Source organism: Homo sapiens, chromosome X (genome assembly GCF_000001405.40).
Source record: "Homo sapiens chromosome X, GRCh38.p14 Primary Assembly".
Lineage (NCBI taxonomy): Eukaryota > Metazoa > Chordata > Mammalia > Primates > Hominidae > Homo > Homo sapiens.
The window spans coordinates 128,643,868-128,667,829 of NC_000023.11; the positions used below are offsets into that span (position 1 = coordinate 128,643,868).

Below are 23,962 nucleotides of genomic sequence, written 5' to 3' on the forward strand. Positions count from 1 at the left end.
TATCCAAAATTAAATTGTTTACTAAGATAATTCAAAAGCACATTTACTTTTTTCTTACTCCTGGGAAGCTAAGCATTGCAGGGGAAAGTTATGTGAATACTATGCTCAATTTTTTACATGAATCCTTATTGTTCAGCCTTTTTGCAGATACTGCTCTAACCAGATTACCAATGAATGACCTCTTTATCATCTCTTCCAGTGCCATTTCCAGGTGCAATTTTATTCAACTGGGCCTTACAAGTTGATTGACAATGCTTTTACTTTTACCAGTTTAGACCACTTGGGGACGTTCTCAAGGTCACATACCAAAGATAATTCATGTTTCTCAAAGCCTCCAAGCCTTAAACTGTAGCAGATAACCTTTTCTATCCCCGTCTCTGAGGAGGAAAAAGCCATTTCATATAAACTCTTTCAACTCTGAGTGATTCCACTTCAAAAGTTTTTTTATATTTTTACTTTTCTTTCCTTGCATTCTTCTTGTTTCAGAGAAAGAATTGTCCACTTCTTCTAAGACTAATCTCTGAATTTCTTCTGCCCCTTCAGCCTTCTGGTTGTCATCAATATTTTACTTTGTCACTGCAGCCCTTCTGCCTCTTATATTTTCAGTTTTTTTTCTTTACATCACTTCCCTTTCTTTGGCCTGCAAACCTGTTCAAATCTTCTTTTAATTAACTAAAATTTTAGCATCCAGCAAAGCGTGTAGGAAATGGTAGACAATCAATTGATATATATTATATGTACAAATCTTCTTGTGAAAAATCTATTCTGTGGAAAAAAATTCTATATAAAAAATTGTTCTCAGCCGCGCATGGTGGCTCACGCCTGTAATCCCAACACTTTGGGAGGCCGAGGTGGGCAGATCACGAGGTCACGAGTTCGACACCAGACTGACCAGCATTATGAAACCCCATCTCTACTAAAAATACAAAAAATTAGCCAGGCATGGTGACACACACCTATAATCCCAGCTACTCTGGAGGCTGAGGCAGGAGAATTGCTTGAACCCGGGAGGCGGAGGTTGCAGTGAGCCAAGACCGTGTCACTGCATTCCAGCCTGGCGACAGAGCGAGACTCCGTCCCAAAAGGAAAAACAAACAAACAAACAAACAAAAAACATTGTTCTCTTCACTCCAAATAGGTGTTGAAGGAGTAGTTTATATTCAGCTCTGCTTTCTCACGTCCAATTCCAATTCCCTACTCAAATTAGTGTAGTCTGGTTTCTATCCTCACTTCCCCATAGATATTGCTCAGACTAGATTAGATTATCAACAAATGACCTCTTCTTAATTTTTATTTGAATATTGTTGGGGAAACAGGTGGTGTTTAGTTGCATGGAAAAGTTTTACATTTTTATTAATATTTCAATAAGTTTTGGGGGAACAGGTGGTGTTTTGTTACATGGATAAGTTCTATAGTGATGATTTCTGAGATTTTGGTGCACCCCTCACCCAAGCAGTGTACACTGTACCCAATGTGTAGTCTTTTATCCATCACCCCCCCCCACCCTTCCCCCAAGTTCTTGAAGTCCACTGTATCATTCTCATGCTTTTGCGTCCTCATAGCTTAGCTCTCACTTATGAGTGAGAACATATGATGTTTGGTTTTCCATTCCTGAGTGACTTTACTTAGAATAATGGTCTCCAATTCCATGCAGGTTGCTGTAAATGCCATTATTTTGTTCCTTTTTATGGCTGAGTAGTATTCCATGGTATATATATATTTTTTCCTCTGGGTAGATATCCAGTAGTGGCATTTCTGGATCAAATGGTAGATTTACTTTTAGTTCTTTAAGGAAACTTCACACTGTTTTCCACAGTGGTTGTAATAGTTTACATTCCCACCAGCAGTGTGAAAGTGCTCCCTTTTTTACCACATCCATGCCAACATCTATTATATTTTTGATTTTTTTTATTATGGCTATTCGTGCAGGAATAAGGTGGTATTGCATTGTTGTTTTGATTTGCATTTCCCTGATAATCAGTGATGTTGAGCGTTTTTCCATATGCTTGTTGGCCATTTGCATATCTTGTTTTGAGAAATGTCTTTTCATGTCCTTGGCCCACTTTTTGACGGGACTGTTTGTTTCTTTCTTGCTTATTTGTTTGAGTTCCCAGCAGATTCTAGATATTAGTATTTTGTTGGACACATAGATTGTGAAGATTTTTCTCCCACTCTTTGGGTTGTCTGTGTACTCTCCTGATTATTTCTTCTGCTGTGCAGAAGCTTTTTACTTTAATTAAGTCCCATCTATTTGTTTTTGTTGCATTTGCTTTTGGGCTCTTGGTCATGAAGTCTTTGCCTAAGCCAATGTCTAGAAGGGCTTTTCCTATGTTATCCTCTAGAATTTTTATGGTTTTACGTCTTAGATTTAAGTCTTTGATCCATCTTGAGTTGATTTTTATATAAGATGAGAGATGAGGATCCAGTTTCATTATTTTACATATGGCTTATCCTAGCACTCAATTTGTTGACTAGGGTATCCTTTCCCCAAGTTATGCTTTTGTTTGCTGTGTCTAATATCAGTTGGCTGTAAGTATTTGGGTTTATTTCTGGGTTCTCTATTCTGTTCCATTGGTCTATGTGCCTATTTATATTCAGTACCATGCTGTTTTGGTGACTATAGCCTTAGAGTACTGTTTGAAGTCAGGTAATGTGGAGCCTCCAGATTTGCTCTTTTTGCTTGGTCTTGCTTTGGCTATGGGGCTCCTTTTTGGTTCCATATGAATTTCAGGATTTTTTTTCTCTAGTTCTGCAAAGAATGATGATGGTATTTTGATAGGAATCCCATTGAATCTGTAGATTGCTTTTGGCAGTATGGTCATTTTTACAATATTGAAAACCATACAAATACATGGAAATTAAATAACCTGCTCCTGTATGATCATTGGGTCAACAATGGAATCAAAATGGAAATTAAAACATTATTTGAACTGAACAATAATAGTGATAGAACATATCAAAACCTCTGGAATACAGCAAGAGTGGTGCTAAGAGGAAAGTTCATAGTACTGAATGCCTACATCAAAAAGTCTGACAGAGCACAAATAGACAACATAAGGTCACACCTCAAGGAACTAGAGAAACAGGAAATAACAAAGATCAGAGAAGAACTAAATGGAATTGAAACAAAAAAATACAAAAGATAAATGAAACAAAAAGCTGGTTCCTTGAAAAGATAAACAAAATATATGGACCATTAGCAAGGTTAACCAAGAAGAGAGAAGATCCAAATAAGCTCATTAGAAATTAAATAGGAGATATTACAACTGATACCACATACATAGAAAAGATCATTCCAGGCTACTATGAACATCTTTATGTGTACAAACTAGAAAATCTAGAGGAGATGGATAAATTCCTGGAAATATACAACTTTCCTGTATTAAACCAGGAAGAAATAGGAACTATGAACAGACCAGTGACAAGTAGCAAGATTGAAATGGTAATTTTAAAAATTGCCAAAAAAAAAAAAGTCCAGGGCCAGGTGGATTCACAGCTGAATCCTATCAGACATTCAAAGAACTTATACCAATCCAGTTGACACTATTCCAAAAGATAGAGAATGAGGTAATCTTCCCTAAATAATTCTATGAAGCCAGTATCATCCAAATACCAAAACTAGGAGAGGACATAACAAAAAAAAGAGAACTATAGACCAATATCACTGATGAGCATAGATATAAAATTCCTAAACAAATTACTAGCTAACCAAAACAAACAGCATATCAAAAAGATAATCCACTATGATCAAGTAGGTATCATACCAGGGAGGCAGGGATGGTTTAACATATGCAAGTAAATAAATATGATACACCACATAAACAGAATTAAAAACAAAAATCACATGATCATCTCAATAAACACAGAAAAGGCATTGGACAAACTCCAGCATCCCTTTATGATTGAAAACCTCAGCAAAATCTGCATAGAAGGGACATACCTCAAGATAATAAAAGCCATCTATGACAGACTCACAGCCAACATTATACTGAACGGGGAAAATTTGAAAGCATTCCCCCTGAGAACTGGAACACAATAAGAATGCCATGCCCATTGCTCCTATTCAACATAGTACTGGAAGTCCTAGCCAGAGCAATCAGAAAAGAGAAGGAAATAAAGGGCATCCAAATTGGTAAAGAGGAAGTCAACCTGTTGCTGTTTGCTGATGATATGACTGTATATCTAGAAAACACTAAAGACTCATCCAAAAAGCTCCTAGAACTGATAAGTGAATTCAGTAAAGTTTCAGGATACAAAATTAATGTACACAAATCAGTAGCACTGCTATACACCAACAGTGACCAAGATGAGAATCAAATCAAGAACTCAACCACTTTTGCAATAGCTGTAAAAAAGATAAAATACTTAGGAATATACCTATCCAAGGATGTCAAAGACCTCTGCAAGGAAAACTACAAAACACTGCTGGAAGAAATCATAGACGACACAAATGGAAACACATCCCATGCTCATGGAAAAGTTCTTTCTTGGTGATTTCTGAGATTTTGGTGCACCCATCATCTGAGCAATGTACACTGTACTCACCCCCTCTCATCTTTCCCCTCGAGTACCCAAAGTCCATTATATCATTCTTACGCCTTTGTGTCCTCATAGCTTAGCTCCCACTTATAAATGAGAATATAAAATGTTTGGTTTTCCATTCCTGAGTTACTTTACTTAGAAGAATGGTCTCAACTCCATTCATATTGCTGCGAATGCCATTATAGGTTTCTTTTTATGGCTGAGTAGTATTCCATGGTACATATATCCCACATTTTCTTTATGCACTCGTTGGTTGATGGGCATTTACGCTGGCTCCATATTTTTGCAATTGTGAATTGTGCTTCTATAAACATGCATGGATGTGGTGAAAAGGGAACACTTGCACTGCTGGCGGGAATGTATACTAGTACAACCACTATGGAAAGCAGTATGGAGATTTCTTAAAGAACTAAAAGTGGAACTACCATTTGATTCAGCAATCCCACTACTGGCTATCTACCCAGAGGAAAATAAGTTATTATATGAACAATGAATGTCTTCTTTATCATCACTTCCAGCGCCATTCCCAGGTGTAATTCTATTAAACTTCAGACCACATTTTACAGCATTTATCCCTGTGGCAAGTAAAGTCTTCCCTATTGGCTTCTGTGACATTCATCCACTTATTTCACAAATACTTCTTGGGCAATTACTATGCTGAGATAAAATAATGAATACAGAAAAGCTTCTAACCTCAAGGAACATATGGACTAGTGAGTATGCACTTATCTGATTATTAAATCTTTTTGATTACTCTTGCTTGATATCTTTTATGAGCTCTTCTCCCTCCTCATATTTCCTGAATATAAATAAGAGTTTCACAAGGAAATGTGCTCAGTCTTTTCATACAAGACATCCACTCCCCACAATGCCACTAATCCCATAGAGTAATTGGTCACACCTATGACAGTATCTCCCAAATCCATGTTCTTCACTGACTTTCCTCCTGAGGATCACACTGCATGCATTTCCAGCTGCCTGTTGCTTACATCTAGCTGAATATTCAAATAACAATTGAGCTCAATATGTTGCAGCCTGATTTCATCACCTGTCTCATCTAACAAATTGCTCCAGTGATTTTGACTTTGATTTATGAGCTAACATTGTCCCAGTTGACCAGAATTCACATCATATCATCTTTAAGGCCTCCTCCCTTCTATCACCTCTAACAAGTTGATAAAATTCTGTAGATTTTCTTCTCCCTATCTTTTACCTGTTGCAGCCATTCTCTTTCTCTGCTATTAGAATGGTTTAGAGCATCATCACATATGACCTAAATAATTACGGTAATTTCTTAACTGTTTCTCATCCTTCAGCTTCTCTTACTTCAACCCAACATTCTTAGATGTGCCTTCTTAAATTAAAGCTCCTCTCTTCAAAAATTATCAATGGATTTCTGTTCCAAAAGGAATAAAATTTAAACCATTATTCCTAATCATCCAAGTTTCTTAGTATCATCCCTCATAGTACACTTTTCACATACTCTACGTTCTAGCCACATGAAACTCTCACTGTTCTTGAAACATGTCCTGCACTTTGATTTTAGTGTATCTTTCCTTTGCTTTTTTTCTCCCCAGAATGCCCTTCTCCAACATCCCCATTTGCTGAGTAATCAACTTTCAAGTCTCAATGTAAGAACAACCTACTTCTAAGAAATCTTCTAAGAACAGTCCACTTCTCATATATGATACTTCTATTATATTTTGTCTGGATTTTATTTATGGCATTTTTTACAGTTTTGTTTCTGAGTTATCCTAGAGTTTGTCTTTCATATGTTTCATTTAAATATTAAGTTGTAATTTTTTGAGAATGGGACTATGAGCCATTAGCCTTTATATCTGCCACATCTAGCTCAGTCAGTGCCTTGTATGCAGTAGATGCTCTGCAGCCATTGATTTGAAATGAAGTGCAAACAACACCTGGCAGAAAAATCCCCATCACAGAACTGTAGTGAATGTAAAGTGATCAAATTATTTTCTGTTAATTAAGGGAGGCAGGTAAAAAGCAGCAGGGCATTAAGAACTTGAAAGATAAGTACACTTCAAGTGGCAAAGGGAACGGAAAGGGAAGGATGAAGATTCCAAGAAAACTTGGCAGACTGCACAATTTTGCCACCTCTCCCCTCCAGCTTGGCTTATCTTCACTTCAACAGAGAGAGAGAAAAAAAGTGGTGTACCAAGTTTGGCTGCCACCCCAAATGGGCAAACACATGCATATCTTAGACTGATAACTTAGTCCCAACTTGAATCCACATCCCTTGGATCTTCCAAATTGCAATTTATGCTGTTTGCCACTAAGGGAAATTGTTAAGATATAGTTATCATTATAAGGTGATCTAAATTCCTTCAAAACATGACCCAAAATGCTGTTTCCACATGTACATCATATTTTACAATATAGCCATATTCCTGAAGTGCCCTCTGCAAATCAAACTTCTCAATACCCTGCTGCTTTTTATGGATCCTACTTTAACTCCACTTGCCACTGCCTCAGCACATTCTCTGCCATTTTCAGCTCTATCAGGAACTGCCTGTCACTCCAGCTTCTCACTCTCCACTCCTGTCAGCAGCTTTTGATTATTTCTACCTCAACACCTAGACTTAGAAAATGGGCTCAGTCTTCATAGAAAACATATGAAAGTTCTTAGGCTGACTCAATTCTCCATCTCATGGCACTGGTGCTTTGAACTGAGTCTTCCTCTACCTGACTCACTGTTTGGCTGCCTCTTATTTCTGACTCCTAACTGCTTGGCTAACGTTTCACCATCTGCTTTCCTCTGTTTTTCCAACTCCTGGAGATTACCTACTATCCAATCTGCCCAGGGTATGAGCCTACCACTTTATTTAGATCTCTGATGGTTCTATTACCGTGTACTTGTCTAGGTCACTTCCAGCTCACAACTTGCCCAACTCTTCACTTACCATACCTATTCCAACACTGACTTTTTCACCTGATTCTGACCTGCAGTTTGTGCTAACTGATACCTACTTGACCATGACAACCCTAAGAAAGAACTGCTGGGTTCCTGTCTTGGTGCACTCAATCTTCTTCTACCACTTCTCTCATTTGTTTTATCCTCAGGCATTTTTTTTTCTTTAGGTCTAAAGCAATCCTATGTATAGGGAATGCAGTTAACTACATATTTAAAGTTCAAGAAACTTCTAAGGTCTTAAAAACCTATAAATATTTCCTCAGCTTATTCCCTCAGTGTTATTCTCTTCTGTACAAAAATCCCCACTATCTTAGCCAGTTTTTTAGCTATAACTTAAAGGCAAGAATATTATCTCTGTGAAAGTATAATTTACTTATAAGGCACACTACTGTAGCAAGGCTCTGTTCCATTAATCTGTTTATCATTTTAATCCTGGGTCCTCATCATGATCAGTTTTATATATTTTTCTAGAATTGTAGGACATTAAGTCAATTTATGCAAGTATCTCAGGATTTATGAGACTTGTGAATGGTAATCTTGTTATACCTCTTACATCAAAGTTGAGATAATTCCCGAGAAGGAGGTAACCAAAGGAATACTATAACTTCTAAGGCCATATAAGAACTCATCCCAGGCAAAGTGAGATCTGTCCCTCATAAATCCTGTCTCAATTCAGTCAAACTCTCTTGGGAGAGCTCAGCAGAGCCCTGAGTGGTGTCCCTGACAAGTCTCAAGACAATGTTAAGGTATGAGAGTTGAGAAGCCTTATAACTTCTAGCAGTTAAAGATGTATAGCCCATTGAAGAACAAATGTACAGTAGAGCTCAACACAAATTTAACTGTCTATGTCACCATCCACAGTAATAGCAGGGTCATGAAAATAGCAGGGTGGTCCCAAGGGAGACTAGAGTGGCCTCCAGACAGTTCTGACATGAGAAGAATTGACAGTACTTCTGAATTGCCATGATTGCTTAGGCTAGAGAGTTTGAGGACCAGGTCTCTCTTCAGTAAAGAGGACATTCCACTGCAGAGAAGCTACACCTTTATACCAGGCAACGGGTAAAGGGAGTGAGCCAAGCCAAAGGAACTCACTATGGACATAAACAGCATGGCATGAAGTCTCTAAGCCACAGAGGAAAGACATAGTGTAATCAGAAATCCTGGTATGTAAAAGGTACCAAAGGAAGAAACAAAGTAAAATATAAAGAATAGAGCCTATATATAGTTCCCAATTTGGAGATAGGCTTTCTTATGGCAATCATTTTAGTAGAACTGCTAACACATTAGGTCCTGGAAGGGAAATCTACATCTGCTATGTTCTTAATGTATTCCCCAAAACCCACATGTTAAAATTTAATCACCAACATAAAAGTATTAAGAAGTGGGGCCTCTAGGAGGTAATTAAGTGATGAAGGCTCTACCCTCATCAATGAGGTTAGCAATTTTTTTTTTTTTTTTGAGACGGAGTCTCGCTCTGCCACCCAGGCTGGAGTACAATGGGGTAATCTCCGCTCACCATAAGCTCCGCCTCCCGGGTTGAAGCCATTCTCCTGCCTCAGCCTCCCGAGTAGCTGGGACTACAGGCACCCACCACCACACCCGGCTAATTTTTTGTATTTTATTTTATTTTTTAGTAGAGACGGGGTTTCACCATGTTGGCCAGGATGGTCTCGATCTCCTGACCTCGTGATCCGCCCGCCTCGGCCTTCCAAAGTGCTGGGATTACAGGCGTGAGCTACCGTGCCCAGCCGGGATTATAAAAGGGCTTGAGGGGACTAGCTAGGCCCTTTTGTCCTTCCATCTCATCCAACATATGAGGACACAGTTCTCAAGGCACCAACTTGGAAGCAGAGAGCAAGCCCTTACCAGAAACCAAACCGGCCAGCACCTTGCTCATGAGCATCCCAGCCTCCAGAACTGTGAAAAATAAATTTCTGTTCTTTGTAAGATACCCAGTCTCAGACATTTTGTTACAGTGGCCCAAATGGACTAAGACAAGGTCATTCGCTTTCCTGAATGTTTTCCCAATCTAATTCAAACATCAAACATCCCTTACCAAGTCTCTGAAAACCACAAAGCAATAAGCCATTTTGTTGGTGAAGTTAAAACAATGCAAAAATCTGATCAACAAGTTCTTTGCCCTCCTTTAGCAAGTTCAGATTCTGAAATATTGACAAGGAAAGCTGGGAGAGGAAGGCTGCAGTAAAGGGAAGAAAGAAAATGATTTCAGTCCCCAAGTCTCTGCTTGCCAGCCTTTATCCACCTAACCCCAAAGTCAAAGAATGCATTTCCACACACTTTCCCACATTTGTTTCCCCTCCTCAGTCTCCCAGAAGCTCTTCAGTCTCAAATGGGAGATAATCTTCAGATCAATGAGGGCTGATGTCAAACTCTTACTAAGCCGTGTTTTCCCAGCTGGGGGTAAATTCCGCTTGCCTGGATGTAAAACTTCCTAATTAGAAATGTCAAGTCTCTGTTTAAATATCAAGGAAGGAACTGGGAGTAGGAAGCACCAGGCTATAAAAATGTTTAACTCTTTCTTAAATCTGAATTTGAAGGCTTTGGTTAGTGCAACCTGCAGAGTTAAACTCTGGGTTAATCTTTCATTCATTTTATACTTGACGGTGCTTTGCGGAGGGGGTGGTGAGTGGGGGGTTAAAGAATGTGGTGTGACACAGGAGGCGTGGTAACTAGAGAACGTCTTAAATAATTGACTCTTGAGTAGCTAGAGAAGACAGTGAAAAATCCTTTGTTCCAGAATACTGCCATTCCCAGACCTTACTGCACTGACTAGAAATTTCCAAATTTCTTACTTTTCTATGTTAAGGCATGGAAGTCCCAACAAAAAGGTAGAAAAATACCTGAGAATAGGAATGAACTGTTATTATCAGCCATTAACTCCTTCATGTAAATGTGTTTATCATAATAGCCAAGCGGGTTGTGTTAAAAATATCACCCCATTCTTGGGGTAGAAGAAAATATTGGGCAAAGTGACGCAAATTGATCATATCACCCTATATTACCCCCGTTCAAAAAGGGCTGGGTGTCTGGAGTTAGCAACTTGCTTGTTAGCTTTTATAGTTCTCAGGACGGCTGAGAATGATGAGCTGGAGGCATTTCTCAAATTCAGAAAGTGGGGAACTTCTCTCCTCCTTGTGTATCTCACCTCTCCAAGTTGTGAGCCCATGTCAGAGTGTGTATAGGTTCAATTACCAGCTGGCTTTTACAATCTAAATTCCTTGTTTGTGGAACATTGGAAGTAACAGGTCAAGTTGAAATGAATGAGGAATTTTTCCCAAAAAGCTAAAGAAAGTTTCTGTCTCATGTTTCAACTTTTTCCAGAAATAAAATAGAGTTTGCCAGGTGACATATCCAGGTTGTAATTGAGAGCTGGGTAAGTAACATTCATCATAATTAGTTCTGTCCCCGGTACCAGCCCCAAGCAGCTTTTCAGTTGAGTCTGTGGCTGAGGTAACCATGCCAGGGAGAATGGGAGGCCCCCAGCCATCACAAAACCTCATTTTATGCCAGGTCCACCTCATCTGCTCAGAAATATGGAAACCCACACAATTTTGAATGCATGACAGAAACTTCCTGTGCTATTGCTTTGTTTTAATGGGGCAGCTTAACCAGCTCTCTCAGATCAGATATATTAGAAATGTTGAAGAAGACGGTGTGCTGCCAGAAGCAAAATGGCTTGCTGCTTTCTTCCCATAATGTGACTGTCCCAACACTGTCCCTGAATGTGGCTTTTTCCTTTGAAAAGTATTCAGGAAAACTAGGAACTCAAGTGGAGTTGTTAGCACTAGTGCTTCTTTTCAAATAGGTGACACATGGATTTTGCTACATCTGGGGACCAAAGGACATTCAGCATGGCAAGAGCTAGGTGGCAATTATACTACATGCTCAGTGTTAGAGATTTGAGTGTTTCTGTTACATTTTTTTTTTGTCACTCTATACACTGCTATTGACTCTGAGTTGCAAGCTTTAATGTACCTGGCTGAATAATGAGAAATCACAGAGAGACTCTGTAGCTGTTCTTCCCAAATGAGTGATAAAGGTCTGGGAAAGGGTTACATAAACACGAGAAAATGTTTCCAGAGATGTATCAATGTCGGTGAGTAAACCAGTGTTGTACCCTAAGAACCACATCTGGAAGCCACTGGCAAATTGTATGTTGACCTACACAGCTGGAAGTCAGGTCGTGAGACCCTTAAGGATACTGTCACATTAACGTACAAAATGGGAGTTAAGTACCACATTCCAAGACCTAGGTATAATTTGCATGTAGACTAAAAAGAGAAAATTGTGTACTTCCTGATGCTGTTGTGTGGCTTTCCATAATCAACCACTGAGGACTTTTCCTTTTATTTCCTGGGGACTTTTCATTTGCACAGAAGTCAGTGTGGAAAAAAAAAATGCCTACAATCAATGGGCAACTGAGGCCAGAAACTTAAATGTGATTGAGGGCTCAGAATCTAGGCTTCATTGGACCCCAGAGTTGGACTCTAGACTTTGGCAACAACACTGATTGCTAAGAATAAAATTCATGTCTCTTAGAGGAATTTAGTCCCTACTTATGGTCAGCTGCAGGAAATATTAGTGGAGAAAAATTGTGAAGCAAGCCTCTCTAAAACAGCTACCCTGGCCCATCTTTATCAAAGGAAAAGGGACTTTGCACACTTTGAGGTGACAGAGCTCTGCAAATGACCATGCCTAAGGCTAGGTTTGTGATAACAGAACTACTATTACTGGGTTGATTTATTCCAATATTTGGCCAGCCGCTGCCCAGGAGAAAAATGGCCTATCTTTGATGTCCTTAACTTCACCTAAGCCCTCCCAGAAGCAGAGGACCAAGGAAGGCAAAGCTCTTGACCAGAGTCACGTAGTTTATTCCTTTAAAAAACTAAAAGCTGAACATTTGAATTGATAACTTTTTGATTTAGTCTTCCTCACTAGTTTTGCTACCAGACACCAAATTCTGGTTGTTCCAGAATTCCCTCATGCTAGGCTAAAAAGAAAAGTACCTAGAATGGCCTTTAGTTTCCCCACACTTATTAAACTAGCAATTGAATGGCTATGTGTGTTTGGATGAAGCTGGTGTGCTATATTTAGAATTACAAAGGCTTTTTGGCATCAGCCACCTATAAATGATTCAGATCAAAATTTCTATGGGGCCTTTCTGTAATAAATTGCCTCAAATAGTCAAAATAAACATTTCACTTATATTTAGAGATGTACAGATTGCTGAAAGTTGTTTTAAATTATAAATGATAAATGTTAAAGCATTTGAGAGGGAGGTAAATATATACTGTGGTGTTCTGTTCAATTATATGCTGTACACCTGTACTGTCTAAATGATAGTGTTTGTTTGCTGGAAACACTTAACTATAGACTAAAGGGCATGTCAGCTGCATTTAGTCCTTGGAACGTTAGAAGTTCCATCCTTTTAAGGTTCCATCATTGGAAGGAACCCAGCAGTGTGACTGGTGATGATTTGTCATGACCTATGTTGACCAGTTATATCCAGTAATGTATGGCCAAGAGTATGGTGACCAGCCAAGACTGGCTGAAACCAGGGATGACTGGCTGTGATCAGCCATGACTGGCAACTGACTCAGACAGTGGATATTGGCCATGATGAGCTGAGACTGACTGTGACCAGCTGTGACTGGTGGAGACCAGCAATTACTGGCCATAACAGACCAAGACTGGCTGTGACTGGCAGAGACCGGCCATAATAGGCAGTGATTGGCAGAGATAGACTGTGAGTGGCTGTAATCAACAAAGATCTGTCGTGACAGGCCAAGGCCAGTGTGAACAGCAGAGACTGGCCAAGATTGGCCAAAAGCAGTGGAGACCAGTCAAGACTGGCTGCAATGGGCTGAGATCAGCAGAGACCAGCTGTGACCAGTTGTAATAGGCCAAAACTAGTGGTGCCCAGTGCAGACCAGCTGACACCAGCTGCAACCAGCCAAGACCAACACACACCAGGCATGATTGGTTGTAACAGGCCAAGACCAGCAATGACTGGTGAAGAACAGCTGAAACAGGTTGTAATAGGCAAAGACTGGCCACAGTCAGCCACAATTGTCCAAGACCAGCCATGACTAGTTGTAACAGGCCGAGATGATGGTAATCAGCTGAGACTGGCCAATACTGGTAGAGACTAGCTGCAACTGGACATAACTGGCAGTGACCAGCCATGACCAACTGCAATCATTTGAGACTGGCCACAACTGGCCAACACCAGCAGAGACCAGCTGCAACCAGTAGTTTCTGGCTGTGACTGGCAGTGACAGCTCTCTGTCAGGCTTATACTAGAAGGGCCTTGGGGGATCCCTTTCTCTTGTAAATGGGGAAACAGGCCATGGGGAATCAACTCAGGTATCAGGTCTGTTGTCAGAGTAGGGAGGCATGGATGCCTCGGTGTCCAGAGTAAGCTGGGGTGAATTCAAATTCTCACTTCTTTGCTCCTCCCCCAGCCCCGAAACCTTGAGCTTCTGAGTCCCATGTGGATGCACGGTGATCCACAATTCAGAGAATGGGTAGGAGCAGCAGGACCAGAGAAGGAGAGGACAATGTGGGGGTATAGTAGAGAGTCCAGCTATTAGCCTGAGGGGGATGCTAAGTTAACCCACAAAGTAATGGAGAGAGAAGGAAAGATAAAAGCAAAACAAGCTCCACGCAGTCCAGAGTAAGGGTGCAGAATCCTTCCACATTTGTGAGGGAGGTAGGTTATGTGGGCTGCAGAGAACACCCTATTCAAGACTTGCCTACCTGCAAGGTGATCCTTAGCTCTCACACCCTCCCACCCATCTCTCCCTAGCCTTGTGAGATACTCAAGCCTTGTCATTCAGTTGTGTTTCTTGTGATTCAGGGACTGTAGCTGCAGGGTGCATGGGAATTGGGAAGTGGGTGGTATGTCCTGTTCTAACACCTGTTAAAGAAAAAATTATTCAAACACTTGTTAAAATGGATGAAAAGGCAGACTTTATTCTAAAGGGGCTAACTGCAGTTACGAGAGAGATCCAGCTCAACTCCGAATAAAAATGAAGGAGTTTGTTGCTAAGGAGCAGCGGGAGTTGGGGGGAGGGACAAATGGAAAATTACTAAAATGAAACATTAGAGGTAAGTATCCTGTTAAACAGACTTCACAGGATTTTTGCTGAAGGCAAGCAAAGGTGGTCAGATACCAGGAGTTGGTGATGAGGAATATAATCAAATAGCAATGGTGGGGGATTTTCACTAAACTTACTAATTAGCATTCTTGCTTCAACTAGACCAAACTGGCCAATGTCAGGGGACTAGTTAGAATGACGGTTCAGAGGAGCCTAACTCAATTTGGTCAAAAAAGAAGAGAGGTCTTTGTCATCTTTCATGAGACAGGAGTGATAAATACATGAAAAACAGTGAAAACATAGGTCATATTAAAGTCATTTATTTATATACCAATATTACAGTATTACAGTACTCTATGCTTGTTTATATATTTACTTTTACTAGTGAGCTTTATACTTTCACATGCTCTCATTTTGCTATTTACCATCCTTTTTGTTTCAACTTGAAGAATTCACATCAGCATTTCTTCTCAATCAGATCTGGTGGTGATGGCCTCCCTCAGATTTTGTTTGTCTGGGAAAGTCTTTATTTCTCTTTCATTTTTGGAAGACAGTTTTGATTGGTGTAGTTTTCTAGGTTAGTAGGTTTTTTTTTTTCTTTTTTTTTCCCCAACACTTTGAATATATTATTTCTATCCCTCTGGCCTCCCAAGTTTCTGCTGACAAATTTGCTGATAGTCTTACTGTAGCTCTCTTGTACATAGTGAGTCATTTTCTTCTCTTGCTGTTTTTTTGTTGTTGGTTTTTTGTTTTTGTTTGGTTTTTGTTTTCTTGAGACAGAGTCTCACTCTGTTGCCTAGGCTGGGGTGCAATGGTGTGATCTTGGCTCACTGCAACCTCTGCCACCCAGATTCAAGTGATTCTCCTGCCTCAGCCTCCTGAGTAGCTGGGATTACAGGCACCTGCCACCACACCCAGCTAATTTTTTTGTATTTTTAGTAGAGACAGGGTTTCACCATCTTGGACAGGCTGGTCTTGAACTCCTGACCTCGTGATCCACCCACCTCAGCCTCCCAAAGTGCTGGGATTACAGGCGTGAGCCACTGTGCCCAGCCCAATTTTCAAACCTCTTTGTAATTGACTTTGAAATTTTGATTACACTATGTCTCAGTGAGGACTTCTTTAGATTCTTCTTATTTGGGCCTTTGTGTTTCATGAACCTGGATGTCCATTTTTCTTCCAGGTTTGAGAAGTTATCAGCCACTATTTCTTTAAATAACCTTTATAAACCTTTATCTCTTCTCCTTCTGAGATTCCTTTGGTGTGTATGCTGGTTCACTTGATTGGGTCCTATTAGTCCCACAGGTGTTTTTCACTCTTTTTTATTCTCTTTTTTCTTTTTGCTTCTCTGGCTAGATAATTTCAAATGACTTGTTTTCAAATTTTCTGATTCTTCTGCTTGATCAAGACTGCTGTTGAAGTTCTATTGAATTATTCAATTTATCATATTCTTCATATCCAAAATTTCTCTTTGGTTCTTTTTATGATTTTTATCTCTTTCTTGATATTTTCATGTTATTTGTGTATCATTTTATCGATTTTGTCCAGCTGTCTTTTTTTTTTTTCCTTTTTGAGATAGAGTCTCACTCTTTCGCCCAGGCTGGAGTGCAGTGGTGCAATGTCGGCTCACTGCAAGCTCCACCTCCCAGGTTCACGCCATTCTCCTGCTTCAGCCTCCTGAGTAGCTGGGACTACAGGCACGTGCCACCACGCCTGGCTAATTTTTTTGCATTTTTAGTAGAGATGGGGTTTCACCATGTTAGCCAGGATGGTCTCAATCTCCTGACCTGGTGATTCCCCTGCCTCGGCCTCCCAAAGTGCTTGGATTACAGGCATGAGCCACCGCGCCTGGCCCAGTTGTCTTTTTTTTTTTTTTTTTAGCTCACTTAAGATGATTATTTTGCATTCTTTGTCAAGAAATTTATAGGTGTCCATTTATTTGGGGTAAGTTACTGGATATTTCTTTTGTTCCTTTTATGGTAGGATAGTTCTTTGATTCTTCATGTTCCTTGTACCTTTGCAATGGTGTCTGAGCATTTGAAGAAGTGCATAAAAGAAGTCTTTATGGATTGGTTTCAGCATGGAAATACCTTCAATAATCAGCCCTGCAAAAGATTCTGGGAGCCTCTCAAACATTTTTTGTGGTTGTGCCCACTTTATTTCTCTGCTTCCCTCTCGGGGTAAAGGTCTCAGGTTTGGCTTTATTATTTATTTTATTATTATTTTTTAAATTCCTCTCAATCACACACAGCCATGCAGGCCACGATATACCTTTCACCCCATTTCTCTAGGGCAGTGCACTGAAATGTCAGGATGCTGAAAGCAAGCTCCACTTCTCTCCCTTCCTCCTGAAGGAGAAGTCTCAGGGTTGTGTGCCTTTTCTCAATCTCACAAGGCCTCGCAGGCTGTTGAGAGCTATCTGCTCCTTTTCCCTAGTGGAGTTACTGGAATGCTGATAGTCGGGGTGCAAGTTATACTTCTCTCCCTTCTCCCTGAAAAAAAAAGTCTCAGGATTGTGTACTTTTGTTCAATTCTGCAGTGCCATGCTGGCTGCTGAAAGTCATCTGTCCCTTTGCCGTAGAGGAGTGGACTGCAATGCCAGGAGGTTGGATGAAGTTCCAGTTTTCTTCCTTCCTTGCGAAGGAGAACTCTTAGAGTTGTACACTTTTTCTCAGTCCTGAAATACTGTGTAAGCTTCTGAAAACCCCTGACTTTTTTCTTTATTCTTGGCTGCCTGCGGGCATTTTTACTATGCTGGTTGCCTCAGCAGTCTGAGTGAGGTGAGACAGTAGATCTTTCAGACAGTGCTATGAAAGTGTGGAAATGTCAGGTGCATGCTTCACTCATTCCTTATCCCAAGGGAGAAATGGATGAAATGGATCTCTTTCAATGCTGTGTTGTATGCCAGCTTAGGGGAGGGACTGACATAGACAAAGTGAAATTATTGTTCTTTCCCATTTCAAAGTGTTTTTTTTTTAATCAGTTTTGTGTTCATCTGAGGTGCTACAACATATTAACTGGACTTAAGAGTCTTCATTAAGTTATTTTGGCCCAAATATCATTATTCTATTGATGTTTCTGTAGGAGGACAAGGATTAGGACTTCCACAATCTTGCTGATGTCATTACTGCAGTGTTACAAATTTTATTGTTGACATAATTCTTCTAAGGATTAACCTAATCTGGTATAGCCAGATTCCTTAAATCTGGGACTTTTTCATAGTTTCTGAGTTGAGCAGATATTTCTTGAATGCCTACTATGTGCCAGGTATAGTAGGAATGAATTCAGAGAAATGTATCCTTTTACCTCACTTCAGAATCAGATGCACACAGCTCAGCAAAGTATTTATTTAAATGCAGGATACAATTAGTGTATTAAGGAAGATGACTTTTGTTGGCCATTTGCAATTTATGCCATTAAGAGATTAAATGTGTAAACCAGTAAAGCTGAAAGAAATAACTCAGGTTCTCTGGCTGAAAGTGATTTCTGTCGGGGCAGAAACAGTATTTCTTTGGTGTTTATGATAGGATAATCTAGGCAATGCTGCAATAACAAATAACCACCAACTCTTAGTTGCTTCTAACAACAATGGTTTATTTATATTGCATTCATGCAAAATGCACAATAGATCCAGGTGACTCTCTAGGGCATCTGTTGTCATGTGATGGCTTATTATTGGACTTCTATATTAACACTTGATTCCACAATCTTGTTAGCAGTGGAAAACAGAGTTGGAGAGTCAAGTGCCAGCAACTAAATACAATTATGCTGAAGTGACACATATCACATCTGCTTACATTTCATTGCCTAAAGAAAGGTACACGATAGTTTGCTGAGAATGATGCTTTCCAGCTTCATCCAGAAATGATGAGTTAATGGGTGCAGCACACCAACATGGCACATGTATACATATGTAACAGACTTGCACGTTGTGCACATGTACCCTAGAACTTAAAGTATAATAAATAAATATATATATATATATATATATATATATATTTTAAAAAAAGAAAGAAAGGTACATGGTGATGCCTAATGTCAAGGAGAATGAAAGCACCCTCTTTCCATGTGCTCAAAAGAGGGAAACCAGATACTGAAGAAGAGCAGTAAATACTACCACAATAATTACTTTAATGACAGTAAAAAAAAAAAATCATTGGTCAATAAAAATACCCCCGAATATTTTGCTCTGTTTCACCTTGAGAGATAACTAAGTACTGAGTCTTTGTACATATGGTGTTTTCCTAGCCATCAAATATGTTTCCAAGTCCTGCTGCATCCTGGAGGACAGGTATAACTGTTAAGCCATGTAGATTTTACTCATTCTCCCAGGCTCAAGTCAAATCTTGCTTTGTCTAATAAAATTTCTCAACCTTCCTGGTCGACACAGATCTCTAGTCTATCTTCATAACACTTATATCTTCAATATGTAAGGCATAAATAGTAGCACAGTAATACTGTCTGATTTAATCTTGGCAAGTGCCCATGAGGTAAACATGATCACCACCATTTTGCGGATGGGGAAATAGAGGCTCCATATGCTCTCTCACAGTTTCTAGACAGCAGACCTGAACTAAAAATCTTCTCTAAATAGCAAGCACAATTTGGTGCTTAGGTTGCTTTTAAAATGTTGGACACATTTAACTATTGATTCCCAAACCAGTTGGTATAAAACTTTTTAACAGAAATGGTCAGCTCCCCACCCAAATCCTCTCAGAATGCATCTGGTACCCACAAATGGTGTATTACTACAAGCCTCTGCAATTCTTCACCTGAGGTTTTCTCTCAGTCCTCTAGATGGCTTCTGTATTGACCTCCTTCCCTTTCCTGTCTCAAGTTCCTATTCTTCTATATGTGTATCCTAATATCACTGCCTAAATAAACCATCTGTACTCAAATCATAATGTCAAAATCTGCTACTGAGGAGACAACCCAGACTAAGGGTGAATTTGGCTTGAGGCAGATACAAAGGTATGGATGTTGTTCTAATGTTTCTCCCCCAAAAGTGCCAAGTTCAATACTGCTGTCATCACACAAGTTCAATATCATCTATAGATTCACTGAAATGGGAAACTGAATCATTTTGGCTTTGGGCATACGCTGTAAAATAGAACGTAACTCACAATTTCAGTCTTGTGTGAAATAAGAATTATGAGGTCTTTAGGATAAATCCTATCACATAAGTTTAATGGATATAGAAAACATCAACATGCAATGCAATTTTGTTTCTGTAGGGATTTTTGAGAGGCTGGAAAGTCTCTTCTCTGAGTCCAAATTCATATTCTGCATTACAAAAAGGCAGAAACATGTTTCACTTGTCCCATACCATCAGGGTTAGGTAAAGGGTTTCTTTATGAACACAGACACTTACCTGAACCAAAACAAAGATGTCTAGAAACTCTGACATTGGTGAATAAAACATGCCCTTAGTTCTAAAAACAACTCTTAAGCTTCAAAGGAGATCGTGATTCAGAAACAGAATGATATAAAATGTGTTCTAGTTTCTGGCCATAAGTGAAAAATTAAAAGCAACACTATGTATTTCCCACAGCAACTGGAAACTCTGATCCAGAATCCTTTCTTTTCCATGATCCTTTCTTTTCCTTGAATAAACATCCACACCTCCCAAAAAAGAAGAATAAATATAAAATTTCAGAAAGGACAAAGCAACTTCTCTCACCCTCAAAGTTCATATCAAACAAAATATTAAAATGCAAGATTTGAGCTTCTGGGTGTGAATTTTGTTAAAAGTGCAGGAAATTAACAGTGCAAGATAAAGAGTGCACTTTCTTTAGCAGTGCTTTCAATATGGAAAGGCAAGCATATGTGCACACACACATACAAACACACACACCCCTACATATTTGGCATGGCTTTTTGGCTTTAACAACTCAAATAGGGAAAAATGGGAAAATTGATATTACAGAGATGGGTGATTTCTCCTTGCCAAAAAGCCTTTCTTAAAAAGGTTTTAAATCCATCGTAAACTTCAGGCCCTGATTCAAGCCAGAAAGTCTGTAAGAGAGTCTGCTTTTATTCATTCCCTTTTTACCATGTTGAATTTTCATTATAATTGCACATCTACTCAGGACCCAAAACTCCCCATTGCAACCAACAGTAATGTATTGGTTAAAGTCAGTCTGCTATCTTAGCCAAATCAATTTAACAAACATTTACTGAGTGTGTACTATATGTAGGACACTGTGCAATGTGGTGTGCAAAACTTAAAGAAGATAGGATTTTCCTCAACCTATAGTTCTCACTGTCTAACATTAGTTGCTGAGAAGACTCATCTCCAGATGCCTGGTAGGGCTAGTCAGTGCTTTAGATCAGAGTTCAGAACAAGAGAAGGGCACACTCTTCCAGCTTCAGTCATAAAGAGCTTTTGGAAAAAGATGAGAATTGCACTGCGCTTCCATCAATGCGTCTGGCCCTTGTTAGGGAGAGGGAAAGGAAATGGACAGCCTATTATCAGGAAAGTATGGAAAAAGGCACTGAGATGGTAAACTAAAAGTTGGCCCGGGGAGTAGAAGAGATTTGTGATGATTTTTTTTTTAATCTTCCTCTTCCCCTTCCATAATCAAAATCTCTGGAGATGTAGAGGGATTTCAGGAATTTGTTTTCATACCATTAATATCAATTCAAAATAAATTTGGTGAACCTTTTCCATACACTATTATGTCTTTGTTCTTACTGATATCTCTTTCCAGAAAGCCTTTTTCATTCCATGTTTTCCACCCAAGATAGGTAGATGAGTCCTCTACTATTCTTGTGTGGTGGAAGATATGGGGAGATATCAGAGCTGGGCTATAAAGGAATGCTGGAGGCTCTAGAAAATGGCAGACTTAGAGGGAAGAATCACAGGTTTGCACTTGGAGTTTTGATCATTTGAGTTGACATTGCTATGCAAGTATAAACTAGGGGGTAAACCAACAACAAAATAAAATTTTCTAGGTCCAGAATACGATGTAGCATCTATATTACATGCGTTATATGGCTCCACATCAAAATGATTTTAAAAAAAACCCTGCTACTTCCTTAATGCCTGGAACATTGCAGGCATTCGATATATTTTTTAATTGAAGAATGAATTCAAAATCAAGGACATGCTGTTTTTGAAGTCATTGCTGTATCTAGCATTATGCTGGTCTGCAATAGACAGGCCATTTGAATAATGTCTTACATTTAATTTCCACAAATGCTTTTGGATACCTCTGTGTATCAGACAATATTGGGAGGTTTAGAGACCTAGAGATGACTAGGTAATTGGCCTCCCTTCAAGGACCCAACAATCCAATGGAGGAGAAAGACAGGTATAGTGATATAAGGTATAATGAGATTTCTGCTAAACAGAACTCAAAGAAAGTACTCTGAGTACTGAGGGAGGGTGATTTCTTGTTGGGAAAAATAAAGAACTGAGTAGTAGTCTTTTCATGTCAGTGTGAATTTGAGATGCATAGAAACTAGTGTTTCTCTATCCTTGGTAGAGTCTAACCTTTTAGGCCCCTTGTGACTCAGAGAGAGCCTATGCTTTCTACTTCTGCAGATACTAGTATGAATTTGTAGAGAAATACAAGTAGGACTCTTTGTTTGATCTAATTTTGGGAAAGAGAAGGGCTATGACACTCCCAATTGTGGCTGTGGAAAATAGAAGCAAGCAAGAGGAAGCCACTCTCTGATCAAAATCCCAATAGGAGTGTGGCACTGAATATGGGGCCTGTGGCTGGTTGTGGGAGAGATGGCAAAAATAAAGAGAAGTACTACAGTGATTAATAGAAAAAAGGAGTTAAAGGAGATAAGATATTCCTGAGATTAATTTAGCTTGAACCATTTTCCTATACTATTTATTATTTGGCTTCAGTTCCATCACCAAACTTGAGCCTATGAGGAGAAGTGTGCCAACTGCAGGGTATCTCACCTACAGAATGAGGGGGTAGATAAGCTGATCTCTTTAATGTATTCAGTCTCCAATATATTATGGTCCTGTGACATAACTTTTGAGTTTTCCAGAGCCTACCAGGAGAGTAAGAAATAATGCTGACTGGCCTTTGGATTGTAAAGAAAAGACAAAGCAATAACCTGGTCACCTAGCAACCTTGAGAGGGCCATGGGAAAGAAAGGGGTAATTAGGAGTTACAAAACATCTGCAAAATCTTAGTTCATGTCTTCAGAGCAGCCTAAGCCCTGGAGACCAATAGTGCAGACAGGAAATCAATTTTAAATACCTTTGCACATCAACTCTTGAAAGTTCACTATCAACTTCTGAAAATGATTCTCTACAAAAGGCAGCTAAATCTTGGGCAACCTTCACGTAGCTTGGTGACACAGAGGCTGAAGGATCCTCAAGGGACCCATGTACGTCAAAGCATAGGAGCTATAGAAGATTTTTACAGTGTGGCATTGTGGCTCTATGAGGGGTCCCTAACCCTCAATTTGCATACAATAACCACTTCAGCTACATCCTTTGTGAGAGGTACTCATTTGCTGGAGAACTATTAAGTCAGCTTGGTGAAAGTTAAGATCAGATCTGTAGGGAAGAAAGTTGAAAAGGCAATGGAGAATAAGGAAAAGGTTGAATTAGTAAGATGGTTCATATTAGATGCCTCCCTCATTCCTCCAGGAATACAGATTTTTATCCCAAGCAGCTGGTAGACTGCAGCAGAGAGGCACAGGAGGATATTCCTCTGTGCTATAGATCTGACACTGGGCACACACTCTTGTCACTAGGTCCTGATATCCCCATCAGGCTAAGTTTGGCCACTAGATGTTAAACAGGTTTTGTGTATTTGCATGTCTATATCCATGTAGGTGTGAGCTGTTGTGCTTGGGAGAGCACGTGTGAATGTGTGTGAAACAAAATAGGAAAATAATTGACGCTTAAGGAGTCTCCCTGAGATTAATTTGGCTTTAAATCTTCCAAATCCTGAAGCCAAACTTCATGCTAAAGTGTCCCATATGCATTCTAAGCTTATTGCTTAGCAGATTGTCTCAGAGTAATATATACATATTTATTATATATAATTAATCATATATCGATGTATGTTATACATTGCATATAAATCATATATCGATGTATGTTATACGTTGCATATAAATCATATATCGATGTATGTTATACGTTGCATATAAATCATATATCGATGTATGTTATACGTTGCATATAAATCATATATCGATGTATGTTATACGTTGCATATAAATCATATATCGATGTATGTTATACGTTGCATATAAATCATATATCGATGTATGTTATACGTTGCATATAAATCATATATCGATGTATGTTATACGTTGCATATAAATCATATATCGATGTATGTTATACGTTGCATATAAATCATATATCGATGTATGTTATACGTTG

General features: G+C 39.3%; 1 long non-coding RNA gene across 1 annotated transcript in view, besides 1 other annotated feature; it reads right to left on the bottom strand.

The window, feature by feature from the left end:
- The window catches only part of LOC107985698 (uncharacterized), a 375,495-nt gene that overhangs the window by 321,671 nt on the left and 29,862 nt on the right, over window positions 1–23,962 (bottom strand). The gene's annotated exons all lie outside the window — the stretch shown is intronic.
- Window positions 9,610–10,248: an enhancer, noted in NCBI's record as "NANOG hESC enhancer chrX:127787455-127788093 (GRCh37/hg19 assembly coordinates)". NCBI's record gives its function as "activates a minimal SCP1, AML or CMV promoter by ChIP-STARR-seq in primed H9 embryonic stem cells {active_cell/tissue: H9 hESC(primed)}" and the evidence as "EXISTENCE:reporter gene assay evidence [ECO:0000049][PMID:30033119]".